Consider the following 13,072-nt stretch of genomic DNA (forward strand, 5'->3'; position numbering starts at 1 on the left):
TAACACCACTGGGGAGCCAAGCAATTCAAACCCGCCTGACTCCATGTGGCAGCTTATTTCAAGTACAGGCAAGGAGACTCAAAGGAAATAAACAGTGTGTGGGGGTTCTAGCGATGCAAACCTATAAGGTTCTTGTAACTATCATAATGCTTGATCAATACTTATTAACAAACCACATTCTAGGAGGAACAAGTTTTAAAAGCCTGAAAATTGGACAGCCAACGTCCTAAAGGTGAGTGAGTAGCAGTGAGAGAGAGACCAAACACAGTGTGTCCCTGGGGTGATGCTGCTGTGCTTTAGGTGAAAATGTCAGTAAATGGTTTAGCCTTCACATACAAAAAAGCACACCAAATTCTACAGTAGTGAAAGGTGGAGGCATTCTGTGCAAAGTCAAGTTAGACTCCTTGGAGGTTCCAAGAGCTCAGAGGAGACCCTTGGGTTTTGGAGATATCCTGGGGCAACTTGTTTGGTTAAAAAATGTAGAAAAGGAAACACTGGGGACCCACAAAGAGATGAAAAACTACTCTTTTGTGGAAACTTTCATTTCTCATCAAATATCCATGTACCCACCCACTTTTCTGACCCTCTTCCATTAGTTAGGGGCCTTGTGGCTGATAGAAAAGTGACTGATGCTGCTTCTGGGCTGATGCATGTAGGAGCTGGCACCCAACATGCCAACTCGGGCCACATGCTGAGGTGTCAGGGCGGGATGTGGAATAGAGCTCCTCCTCCAAGCTGACTTGGGCGCATTGTGTAAGCACGCAAGAAGCCTGGGAGGTGCAAGGCCTCTGAGATTTCAGAGGTAGTTTGCTCCTGCAGTTTAGCCTCATTTGATCTGGTGTGTACATACTTCATTCCTATGCCAATCTCAGTAACCAGGCCAGGAGGTAATAGAACCTCTGCCATTAACCCATGTGTGAGCTTGAGGAAGTCACTCTTCTCTGGGTGTCATTTTCCTCATGTGGAAATTTAGAGTTGGGTCAGTTGGCCTTTCTGCTCTGTCAGTCTCCAATTTTGTATTTTTGAAAATTTCCATCTAATAGTGTCTGAAAAGTTGCCAGTACTAGTGTCTGTCTATCCCTGTCTATTATCTACATAGACACCGCCCCATCCACCCATCTGTCTATGTTCATCCATCCATCTTCCCAGAATCCATCCATCCTTCCATCCATCCATCCTCCCATCATCCATCCTTCCATCATCCATCCTCCCATCCATCCATCCTTCCATCATCCATCCTCCCATCCATCCATCCTCCCATCCATTCATCCTCTCATTCATTCATCCTCCTCTTCATCCATCTTCCCACCCATCTCCATCCTCCCATCCATCCACCCTCCCATTCATTCTTCCTCCCATCCATCTCCATCCTCCCATCCACCCATCCATCCTCCCATCCATCCATCCTTCCATCCTCCTATTGTCCATCCTTCCATCCTCCTATTGTCCATCCTTCCATCCTTCCATCCTCCCATTCATCCATCCATCCTTCCATCCACCCATCCTCCCATCCATTCATTCTTTCATCCATCCATCTTCCCATCCATCCATCCTTCCATCCATCCATCCTTTCATCCATCCATCCTTTCATCCATCCATCCTCCCACCCATTCATCCTACCATTCATCCATCCTCCTATTCATCCATCCTCCCATCCATCTCCATCCTTCCATCCATCTCCATCCTCCTATCCATCCATCCTTCTATCCATCCATCCTTCCATCCATCCACCCATCCCCCCATCCATCCATCCATCCGTTCATCCTCTCATCCACCCATCCTCCTATCCATCCATCCTCCCATCCACTTATCTGCCCATCCATCTCCATCTTCCCATCCACCCATTGCTCCATTTTACTCCTGTTTCATTATGAAGGGAGCTGGGACAGCTGAAATAGTGTTTGGGACTCAACAATTTGCCTCCCCTTCCCTACATCCCTTACTGTGATGGTTAATTTTATATCAAACTGGCTGGGCCACAGTACCAGATAGCTGGCCAAACACTATTCTGGGTGTTTCTGTGAGGGTGTTTTGGATGAGATTAACATTTAAGCCGGTGGGCTTTGAGTAAAGCAGATTACCCTCCACCATGTGGGTGGGCTCCATCCAATTAGCTGAAGGCCTGATGACAACTGGCAACAGCAAAACATCCTCAGAGATACACACATGAGCAGAAATGCAGGAGCATGCTCTGAATTCCCTAACATAAACATAGAAGGGCACACACCCCACATGCTTACAAACGAAAAATTCAAGGTGCTGCTCAGAATGTGCTAACACAAAGCAAATGCTGTCACAGTACCTCAGCACTATCCCTCCCGCCCGCACTCCTGCTCTGCCCAGGGTCATCCAGTGCCTCTTGGCCAGTCAGCATCCCCTGCACCAACTCTGCCACCCCCATGGCCCCTTCCTGATGGTGCTTCTGATTGGTTGCAACATGGACACTCAGAGTTTGGGAAGAGGAAGCAGTGATTGTGCTGTGCTTTGCAACCCCTCCCCCTGCCCCCACTCCCCAATTCTCTCTCTTTCTCTCTTTTTTTTTTTTTTCAGAGAACTTAGCAGTAAAGGCTAATTTATGAAGTCCCTAAAGATTTGAACTTTCTGCAGAACTGGCTGCAGTTTCCAGTGGGTTAGAGTCTACTTGGAGTAGAGCAGAAGCTGTGAGCTGTGCTGCCGAGAGGAGGGAAGGAAGAAGCCACAGCCCAGGACCCACACCCGTCCAGCATCCCCAACAGCCTTCCTCCCCTACAGAGAGCTCAAAGATGACACCGACTGTTAGGTGTGGGATAAGAGGGACACAGGGTGTGGGATGAGATCCAGAAGAGCAGGAAGGGGGAGGGGTCAGGAGCTCTGTGGTTGGAGGGACCACCTCCGTTACTAACATCCCAGTCAAATTCAGAAACTATCCAAGCCCTGGAGGCTCCTAAAGGCGCTTGCTCCACCCTTGTACCATCCCAGTTCCCTCCTAAGTTTGCAAGATCAAATCCAGTTTAAGGCTACTCCTTCGATTTTCTCATGTCATGAGCTGACACCCACTGCTGGGACCAAATATTCATTTCCCTCCCCATGAAAGCCAAAGCTCTATTCGGTAAGGATAAATTCACATTAAAAATAAGAGGTTTACAGTCAGGTGTGGTAGCTCACGCCTGTAATCCCAGCACTTTGGGTGGCCAAAACAGGAGGATCTCTTGAGCTCAGGAGTTCGAGACCAGCCTGGTCAACATAGTGAGACTCCATCTCTACAAAAAATTTAAAAATTAGCTGAGCATGGTGGCAAGTGCCTGTAGTCCCAGCTAGCTGGGAGGCCGAAGTAGGAGGATCACTTGAGCCCAGGAGGTCAAGTCTGCAGTGAGCCAAGATCGCGCCATTGCACTTCAGCCTGGGCAACGGAACAAGATCCTGTCTCTAAAACAAACAAAGAAACTAGAGGCTTTTTTTTAAATTATTTTTTAATTTTTTTTTTTTTTTTTTTTTTTTTTTGGAGATGGAGTCTCGCTCTGTCACCCAGGCTGCAGTGCAGTGGTATGATCTCAGTTCACTGCAACCTCTGCCTCCTCAGTTCAAGCGATTCTCCTGCTTCAGGCTCCTGTGTAGCTGGCAAGCACCACCACACCCGGCTAATTTTTGTATTTTTTAGTAGAGATGGAGTTTCACCATATTGACCAGGCTGGTCTTGAACTCCTGACCTCAAGAGATCCACCCTTCTCGGCCTCCCAAAGTGCTGGGATTATAGGCGTGAGCCACTGCACCCAGCCATCGAAGTAGAGGCTTAATTTTCCCTGTTGAAAATAACAGAAGAGCCGGGCACGGTGGCTCACACCTGTAATCCCAGCACTTTGGGAGGCCAAGGTGGGCGGATTGCCTGAGGTCAAGAGTTCAAGACCAACATGGTGAAACCCCGTCTCTACTAAAAATACAAAAAAATTAGCCAGGCATGGTGGCGTGCGCCTGTAATTCCAGCTACTTGGAGGCTGAGGCAAGGGAATTGCTTGAACCAGGGAGGTGGAGGTTGCAGTGAGCTGAGATCGGGCCACTGCACTCCAGCCTGGATGACAAAATGACACAGCAATACTCTGTCTAAAAAAAAAAAAAAAAGAAAGAAAGAAAGAAAAGAAAGTAACAGAAGAGACTCTCCCAGCCCATCTCACTTCCTTTTCCTAGAGCACTTACTTTTGGAAACCTGTAATCAGTAGTTCTTTCTCTGTCTCTTTTAAATGTATGTAAATCTTTTGAAAAGCTAAATAAGCCTCTTGCCAACTTTAGGACCCAGGTATGTCTTTCTCCAAGGACCTGGGAATCATCCCTTTGAAAGGTAATCATCAAGGAACATAGCTCCCCATCTTCTAGTCTCTAGAGAAGCATAGGAGCCTAACTTCAGCTCCAACTTGCAAAACTACCTTTTGCCATAAAGAAATAAGAAGTTTATTTTTCCTTTGGATAAAGGCAATTAGCAAACACAGATGGCCACTCCAATAACCAGGAGACTTTAGAATGAACTATGTGTGACAAATAGAACTAGTCCCCTGAAAACTAGTTATTGTTTAACGTGAGAACACGTATGTAACAGATTGGAGCTGCTTGGCTGGACAAAAGGTAAGACTCCTTTCTGTCTTTGCAATCTCTTCGCAGATCACCTGGCATGCGCGTCCCATTCTGGTTGAATGCTTGTGCAATAATAAAACTGTTTTCTTTCTTTTCAACCTTTGTGAAGAGGTTTTCTGAGTTGAGAGATTTTGTCTGTAATTATCGTTCCCCAGCAATTCTTGTGCTCTCCTAAAGAGAGGATACCCAGGCCTTTCAGGAGGAGGGAGGCTGAGGTAGCACCACTGGCAGGGGAGGGAAGGAGGAAGGAGAGAGGAGGGGCATGCAGGCCCTGCCAAGGTCAGACACAGCTGGTATAGCAGAGCCTGGGCATCATCCAAAAGAAACAGGCTCAATCCATCCTGTACAGTTCCCCGGCTTCCCCAGCCCCCAGCCCGTCTTCCTTCCCAGGCTCTCTGCCCTGGGTTCACTTGCCCTCCTTTATGCATCGAATGTTAAACTTCTTTTGTTTTCCCCTTCAGCAGTTCTTGCCCGCTTTGCATACAGATGCTGTGTGTAATAGATGCACGGTAAGATTCCATTCTCTACCTGTCCGCCAAGTCCCCTTTGTTTCCACAGTGAACCTCATTCATCTGGACCCCATTCATGACATTTTCAAAAATCACTTTCCTAAGCAAAGACTAAAGTGTATTTTGCTTTTTCTGTAAAGGAAGATGATGTCAAGTAAATTTATCAACAAACTTGCTGGGAGCCACTCAATTGACTTGAGATCAGGAATTGTTTTTGAACATTTGATGACAACTTTGCATACTGGATTGTCAAATATTGATTATTTTTCTCCTCCACCCTCACTCCCCACAGCTTAAATGGGACCCCAGGCACTGCCCTAGTCAGGTTGGGGGCTAGTTGGCTACCTAAGGGGAAGGCCTGAAGAAGCAATTTGGTTTAAGCCTTTGAGCTCTAATTCTCAACACTGGCTGCATTTCAGAATCACCAGAGGGGCTTTAAAGTATATATGTGAATGTGCAGATCCCACCCCCAGCGTTTCTGTCTTAATTGAGGCGTGGTGGTGCCCAGGGCAGCATCTGCCTTGACAGCTCCCGGGTGGGAGTCTCTATCACATCTGTCAGTCAGTGCTCCCTGTGAGTTCAGAAGCCTAGAGGTAAAGGCCTCTCAACTCTAGTTGCTCATTACAGCACCGAGAGAGCTTTTTAAAAATATGAATGCTGGCCCGGCGTGGTGGCTCATGCCTATAATCCCAGCACTTTGGGAGGTCGAGGTGAGTGGATCCCTTGAGCCTAGGAGTTCAAGACTAGCCTGGACAACATAGTAAAACCCCATCTCTACAAAAAATTAGCTGAGGGTGGTGGCACGGGAGGCTGAGGTGGGAGGATCACCTGAGCCTGGGAGGTTGGGGCTACAGTGAGCCGTGATCAAGCTGCTGTACTTCAGCCTGGGCAACAGAACAAGACACAGTCTCAAAAAAAAAAAAACCCAACCAAACAAACAAAACAAATTGAATGCCTGTCACAAAGCCCAGCGATTCTAGTTTTATTGGGCTGGACTGAGACCTGGGCACCGGGAGCCTCTGATGCGTAGCCAGAGTGAGACTCACTGGGAGAGGGGAAAGAACCGTGACTTCTCAGTAAGACTGACTAAGCCTAGTGTCTGGGCTCTGCTGGGTAAGTGTAAGCAGGTTGATTCACCTCTCTGAGCCTCAATTTTCTCATTTCCAACATTGGAGTGCTGCAACCCACCATGCAGGGTTGACTGCAGCTGGTGTCTTCCACCTGCATGGCCTGCGTTAGCTCTCTCAGTAGTTCTCCTTGTCAGAAAGTGGACATTTACCATTAGTAATTAACTATGTTACCAATAAGAATTCAGTTCTTATCAATAGAAAGGTGCTGCTTTTGGGGATGTGAAAAAGAAGATGCCAGGGCCCGCCTGTCCTCCCAGTCTTTGACAAGTGTCAGGACAGTGGCTCTTTTCCATCTCTCATAAAATCCTGTTTCAGGAGGCTGGCTCTTTTGAATCAAATTGTACTTAATTAAATCCTCCCTGAAACTCAGGGGAGTTTCATAGGAACTCTGCATATATTTACAGCCTTTGGCCAGGCACGGAGGTTTGCGCCTATAATCTCAGCACTTTAAGAGGCCAAGGTGAGAGCATTGCTTGAGCCCAGGAGTTCAAGAACACCTGGGCAACATAGGGAGACCCCCCTGTCTCTACCAAAAATAAATAAATAAATTAATTAATTAATTAATTAATTAGCTAAGTGTGGTGACATACACATATGGTCCTAGCTATTCGGGAGGCTGAGTTGGGAGGAGAGACAGAGCATGGGAGGTTGAAGAGGCAGTGAGCTGCGATCTTGCCACTGCACTCCAGTCTGGGCAACAGAGAGAGACCTCTTCTAAAAGAAAAACCGGCTGGGCATGATGGCTCACGCCTGTAATCCCAGCACTTTGGGAGGCCAAGGTGAGTGGATCACCTGAGGTTGGGAGTTCGAGACCAGCCTGGCCAGCATGGTGAAGTCTTGTCTCTACTAAAAATACAAAAATTAGCCAGGCATGGTGGCGGGTGCCTGTAATTCCAGCTACTCAGGAGGCTGAGGCAGCAGAATCACTTGAACCCAGGAGGTGGAGGTTGCAGTGAGCCAAGATCACTCCATTACACTCCAGCCTGGGCGACAAGGGCAAAACTCCGTCTCAAAAAAAAAAAAAAAAAGAACCCAAAAACCAAAAGTTCTGCATGCTAGATCTTATTGTAAAGAATGCATATTTGTATTACAAAATAAATGAAAAGCAAGTTAGCTCAGGAACTGAGCCTGGAACTTACTATCAGATCACATGGATTCCAGAGCATCTGTGTGTGTTTGGCTAACACCCCTCACCCCTTCCAGCCTCCATTTGCTCCACTAAATTTTAGACTGCGATTCTGAAAAGTGGGGTTGAAAATCCTGTTGCTGCTACGAAGACTGTGCAATTCTATAGCTCATTCCTAATGTCATTGTCAGCAGGCCAAGGATGCAGTTTCACAGCCCTGCTGGGTGTGACCGAAAGGCTTTCTCTAAGTGTGCCCTTTCATTAAACTTTCTGAAACTGCTATTGGCTTTGCACTCAGCGAGGTGCAGAAAGGGATAAAGATAAAACAGATACAGATTCTGCCTACCTGCCCTCAAATAGATTGAGGTTTGGAAGTTCAGACAGGTCATGCATGTAACTAACTCTAACACGCAGTAGAGAAGAGGTCTGGCTGGGAGTCGGGGCAGGCTTGCTAGAGGAGGGAGTATTTTAACCATGCATCAAGGAAGAGCGGAGTATGGGTAACGGGGCAGGTGATGCCCTTGTCCTAATGTCAAGGATGCCAAGGTCCAGGATGTAAGGAGGCAGGAGGCAGTTCCCGGAGATCTTGGATTATTTTTAGGAGGGGTGAAATAGCTGGTCAACAGGTATGCATGTTTTAAGGTCTTTACTGCACCTTGCCCAAGTGTCCTCCAGAAAGGATGCTCCAATGTACACTTAGCCAGATATTAAGATGCCTGGAGCCTTGGTCTGAAAATGCAGGAGGAAGAGGTGCAGGGGCTGTGAGGTGGAGCGGAGTTTGTCCTGTCAGCTCAACAAATATCTTTCATCACTGGGCTGTCTGTGTGGTGTGCAGAGATGAAAAATGGACACATTCCTGCCCTCAGGGAGCTCAACCTACTGGGAGAGATAGACCACAGCCCAAAAGTGTGGGCAAACCTAGGGCTCCCTTGAAAGTTATAAGCAGGTGTTGTTTGTTTGTTTTGAGAAAGGGTCTCCCTCTGTCGCCCAGGCTAGAGTGCAATGGCAAGATCACAGCTCACTGCAGCCTCAAAGTCCCAGGGTGAAGCGATCTTCCCACTTCAGCCTCCCAAGTAGCTGGAACCATAGGCTCATGCCACCATACCCAGGTAATTTTCTTTTTTTTAGAGACCACGTCTCACTATATTGCCCAAGCTGGTCTCAAACTCCTGGGCTCAATCAATCCTCCCGCCTCAACCTCGCAAAGTGCTGGGATTGCAGGTGTGAGTCATCCAGCCTGGCCTACGAGCAGGTTTTTGAGCTGAAAAGAGTCTGTCCTTTCTGGATTCTCCCTCTTTGAGGCACCTCATTCACCTCAGTGGAATTATTCACAGGGTTCCACCAGTAATCCTTGGGTTCCCTGACTCTCCAAAAGGCATCTAAGCTTCCTGGCTTCATATTGCCTGACTCTACTCCCTCCCACATTTCTTTGTCCCAGCTATTTAACTTCAGCACTGGAGGAATCTCCAAGGTGCTTGAAGAGTTCTGCCCAGCTTCCCGCAAGGCTGTGCCTTCTCAGGTCATCGAGCAAGGAAGCCATCCCTGAGAGTCTCATCCGAGAGCCCTTGCAGTGGGCATCCAAGGCCATAAATATTTGCATGCCTGTGAACCCAGCTTTCAGAAATGATCTTAAGGAAATAAGCATGAGTATTTGCAGAGATTTATCTATAAGATTATGCATGAGAGCCTTATTTATAAAAGAGAAAAATCATTGAAAATGACCTAAATTTTCATTCATAGAGTTTGACTAAATAATTTATGGCATATTCACACAATGCAGGAGTTGTAAATTACATCATGGAAGAATATTTAATGACATGAAAAGAAACTTAAGGCATTTGCAAAATACTGTGTACTACATGATACTATTTCTGATAGTAAAAAATATATACAAACGTAGAGACACAAGGGAGAGAGAAAAGTCATGTATCAAAAATATAAAACTTTCATGATTTCAGGGTAGTGGATTAATAAGAAATTTTAATTCTCTTTTCTGGATGTTTTCTATGATGTTCACTATTTGTTTAATCAGAATAAAAGATACTCTATTTTTGAAAATGATATCTCCTGGCACAGGACAATGATTCCCATCTGAGGCACATGCGGGTAGGAGGTGGGTGCTGGGGAGCTGCACTGCTTAGGCCAGGAGAGTCCCCCTGAGCTCCCGGCTGCTGGGACACACTTCTCAGCCATGCCCTCCTCTGCAAAGTGCCATACAGCAACCCTGGTTATGCAACAAGCTGCCTCGGCCCTGGGCAAACAGATCCTCTGACTCCTCGGCTCCATTACAGGCCATAATGGGACAACCAGACCTCAGGCCCGATGGTTGCATAAAAGCAGGATGGATAGATTTTTCTGGTCACTGTGTTCCACCCAGCTGAGCAGGCATATTCAGACTCCTTCCCTGCTGTACTGCTTAGCTCATGCGAAGCAGGAGCCTTCTTCAGGCAGCCTTCCGGACTAACTCCACTATGCCGTGTGCTTCAAAAGCCCCTGCTCTAATCCATAATGAACACTTGCAGAGTACTCTACTTGTAATAATCCAAACGATTCTCATGACAACACTATAAGTGGGTACTGTGATGCTTTTGTGACAAATGAAGCAACGGAGGCAGAGAGAGCACAAGCGATTACCCAAAGTACTATGCAGAGCCAGGATTCAAACCCAGGCAGTGCAGCCCCAGGGTCAGCCCGGAAGACACCACGCCATGCAGCCCCCTGGCAGATAATTGCTATCACAGCCACATTTGCATGGTGATTCTGAGTTGTTTCCAAATTTTTGCTGGAAGACTATGGATTCCTCGAAGGCATGAATTGTGACTTTCACTTCCGTGGGACCATCCAGGGCCCAGCAGAGCACTGAGTGCACAGGGCCTTCCCAGGGGCTTGCATTCTCGGCTCTGAAGCCCGCCTTCTTTCCTACTCCAGCTGCAGGTGCAAGTGGTGAATCCTACTGAGCCATAATCTTGCTGCTAGAGGCTTATCTAGAGGTGCTTATGCAAGCAGTCTGGCAAAACACCTCTTTAGGGACAAACGTAGAGCTGGAGACTTGGGACGCCTCAGGATGTGTCAGATCACAGCTTTCTGCAGGGCACAAGGCTTCTTGCTGCTTCTCCAGAACATCTCTCCAAATGCCTGTGCAGCCCTGGGTACCTGGGCAGGGTCCAGCTCTACAAAGGATCATGGCTCGAGTCCTTCCGCTCCAATGGGAAAGACCAACCAAGTGAGAGAAAGAGCATGCCGCCCAGAGGGGGAGCTGGTTGCCATTGTCCTCTTGGCTGTCATTTGTTTCTTCAGGGTTTCCAGGCTGGCTTCCAACCGAGGATGTAAGAGGCTGTTACCAAGTCCAGGCAGATCAGCACAAACATATTAACAGGGGTTATCTCAGCGTGGTGTGATGAGGGATGACTTTTTCTCATGGCTTTGCTTCTCTGCCTTTTCTAATTTTCTGCAATGCACATGATTATTTGGGCAATTAAATAATTACAGGGAGGGGAAAGTCACTGTTCTTGCTTTGTCCCTTGCAGGACTCTTTCCCCACACTTATATGGGCTGCTAAGCTCCAATGTGCCCTCTATTGCATGTGGCTTCCACCGAGCTCTTTCTGATCTTCACACCAGCAAACTCCCATCTCTACTCTGTCCTTTCCACACCCTTCACTGTGTACTGATCTGCTCAAATCCTTGCAGATTATAAAATGTTTCACTGGCCCGAGCCTGCTGGTCCCCACAACCCTGATTTCAAAAGAAGTCATCTTTTGTGTCCTTGCAGAGCGTGCCTGGATTGTGTCTCTATCCTTGGTCCCTTACCTGGACTGTAGCCCCAGTTAACTGCTGAATACCAGCAGCTGGGTGTCCTCAGCAACCATGTCCACATGAAGCATCTTAGTCTCACCCACTCCTTCTGTGTCTCTACGAGCAGCATTGAGCTGTAGATGGGAAAGTGTATGGAAATATGATCACTTTTTCCCTAGGGCAAAGAGGGTTGGTGTTCTTTTCTTCAAAATTTATTTTGAATCTGTCTTTTCTGTCTCCCCACTACCCCTCACTCATGCTCCTGAGTCACTGCTGAGCTCCAGGGCTGTACCTTTCTCATTTTGGAATCTCTAGGATCTAGCATAGTACCCAGTGCACAGTATGCCTTCAATGTATGCCTCTTGGTTCAATGAATGAATGCATGAAAAAATGGGCAAATAAGTAAGTTTTAATAATTTGTCACCTTGATTTTTATTTCTTGCAATCCTTCCTGTATTTCTTGCAATCCTTGTTTTATTCCTTGCAATCCTTCCTATATGTCTCTGCCAGTTGAATCTTCCAAAGTGGTGACTCGACCACGTGAATCTCCTCTGGTGACTTTAATGGCTCCCACTGTCTGCGAAGGCCTTTCAAAACCCAGCTGCTTGTTACCTTTCTTTGCAAGGATTTTCTCTCTCACTCCTCAAAGCTCCATTCTGGCTGACTTGGCCTCTCTGTATCCTTTCCTGCCCTTGTTGAGTTGCCCTTTTCTCTGTGTAGCCACTTAGCTGCCTGTGCTGATACTTGCTGCTGGCTAAGCTTGTCATAAGTTCAGTGTGACACCCTTTCCCGTGATGGGCTGATTACAGTAAGGTCCCAATCTAGTGGTGCCTCCCTCTATTGCTGGGTTGGGTAATCTCCCAGTTACTCTGGGTTTGACCATGTGACTTGCTTTGGTCAACAGGAAACAGGATGTTAGCAGAGACTTGAAAAGTGCTTGCTCATTGGGGTTTGCCATCTTTTGCTGCTCTAGGGAATCCAGCAGCTGTCACCATGTAAACAAGCCCAGGCTAGACCAGTTACCCTCATCATCTTAGCTGATAGCCAGCCAGCCACCACAGGCATGAGTCAGGCCATATTGCTGGACCCACAGAATTATGAGCTAAATAAATAGTCTTGGGTTAAGCCACTAAGTTTTAGGCATAGTGTGTTATGTATCTCACAAACATATAAGACTGTGTGTTTGTTGACTGGAGGAAGAGATGCTATAAAGACCACCTTTTAAAACTTCCCAAATACTGCCACTGATGTCCTGATGGAGGTATGAAAACATCCACTAAAATTTGTGGTTTATTCATTTTTCATTATTTTGTTTAAGGAGGTCTATAGTGGAAGAGGGAGATATTTGGGGAAATTTTGTATAGACTAGCTTTCACGATGTTAGGGAATTATTATTGTGTGATAATGGTCTTGCAGTTACACAGAAATTCTTCCTTATTTTTTGGGAAGCACCAAAGTAGGGATAAAATGTCATGATGTGTGCAATACACTTTAAAATGTTTTTGCCAAAATAATTAATGAAGCAAATATGGAAAATAATAATTATTAAATCTAGGTGATGGGTATATTGTAGTTCACTATAGTATTGCACACTTTTCTGTATGTTTAAATTTTTCATTTAAAAAACTTTGAGCTAGACACCAGGCTATGAGCTAGGAGCATAGCAATGACCAAATAGACTCCTACCAACTCAAAGAATGCACATTCTCTGGGAAACATGTTTCCATTAGGAAGCCTCGAATGCAATGTGACTGTGGTCTCCAGGACCTGTGTGATCCTGGCTTTTCCTGTTCCCTCCGCATCATCACTGCAGGTGTGTTTTCCCAAGTTTTAAACATTTACCTTCCCAGTGGCCTTGCGTCTAGAGGAATCCCTGTATAGTGGTACATGAATATAACACATAACAAAAAT

General features: G+C 46.5%; 1 annotated feature.

Annotated features, from left to right (window-relative positions):
• Window positions 12,014-12,153: an enhancer, noted in NCBI's record as "active region_26595". NCBI's record gives its function as "activates an Ori minimal core promoter by ATAC-STARR-seq in GM12878 lymphoblastoid cells {active_cell/tissue: GM12878}" and the evidence as "EXISTENCE:reporter gene assay evidence [ECO:0000049][PMID:35858748]".

The sequence above is a fragment of the Homo sapiens genome, chromosome 7, assembly GCF_000001405.40.
Source record: "Homo sapiens chromosome 7, GRCh38.p14 Primary Assembly".
Classification (NCBI taxonomy): Eukaryota; Metazoa; Chordata; class Mammalia; order Primates; family Hominidae; genus Homo; species Homo sapiens.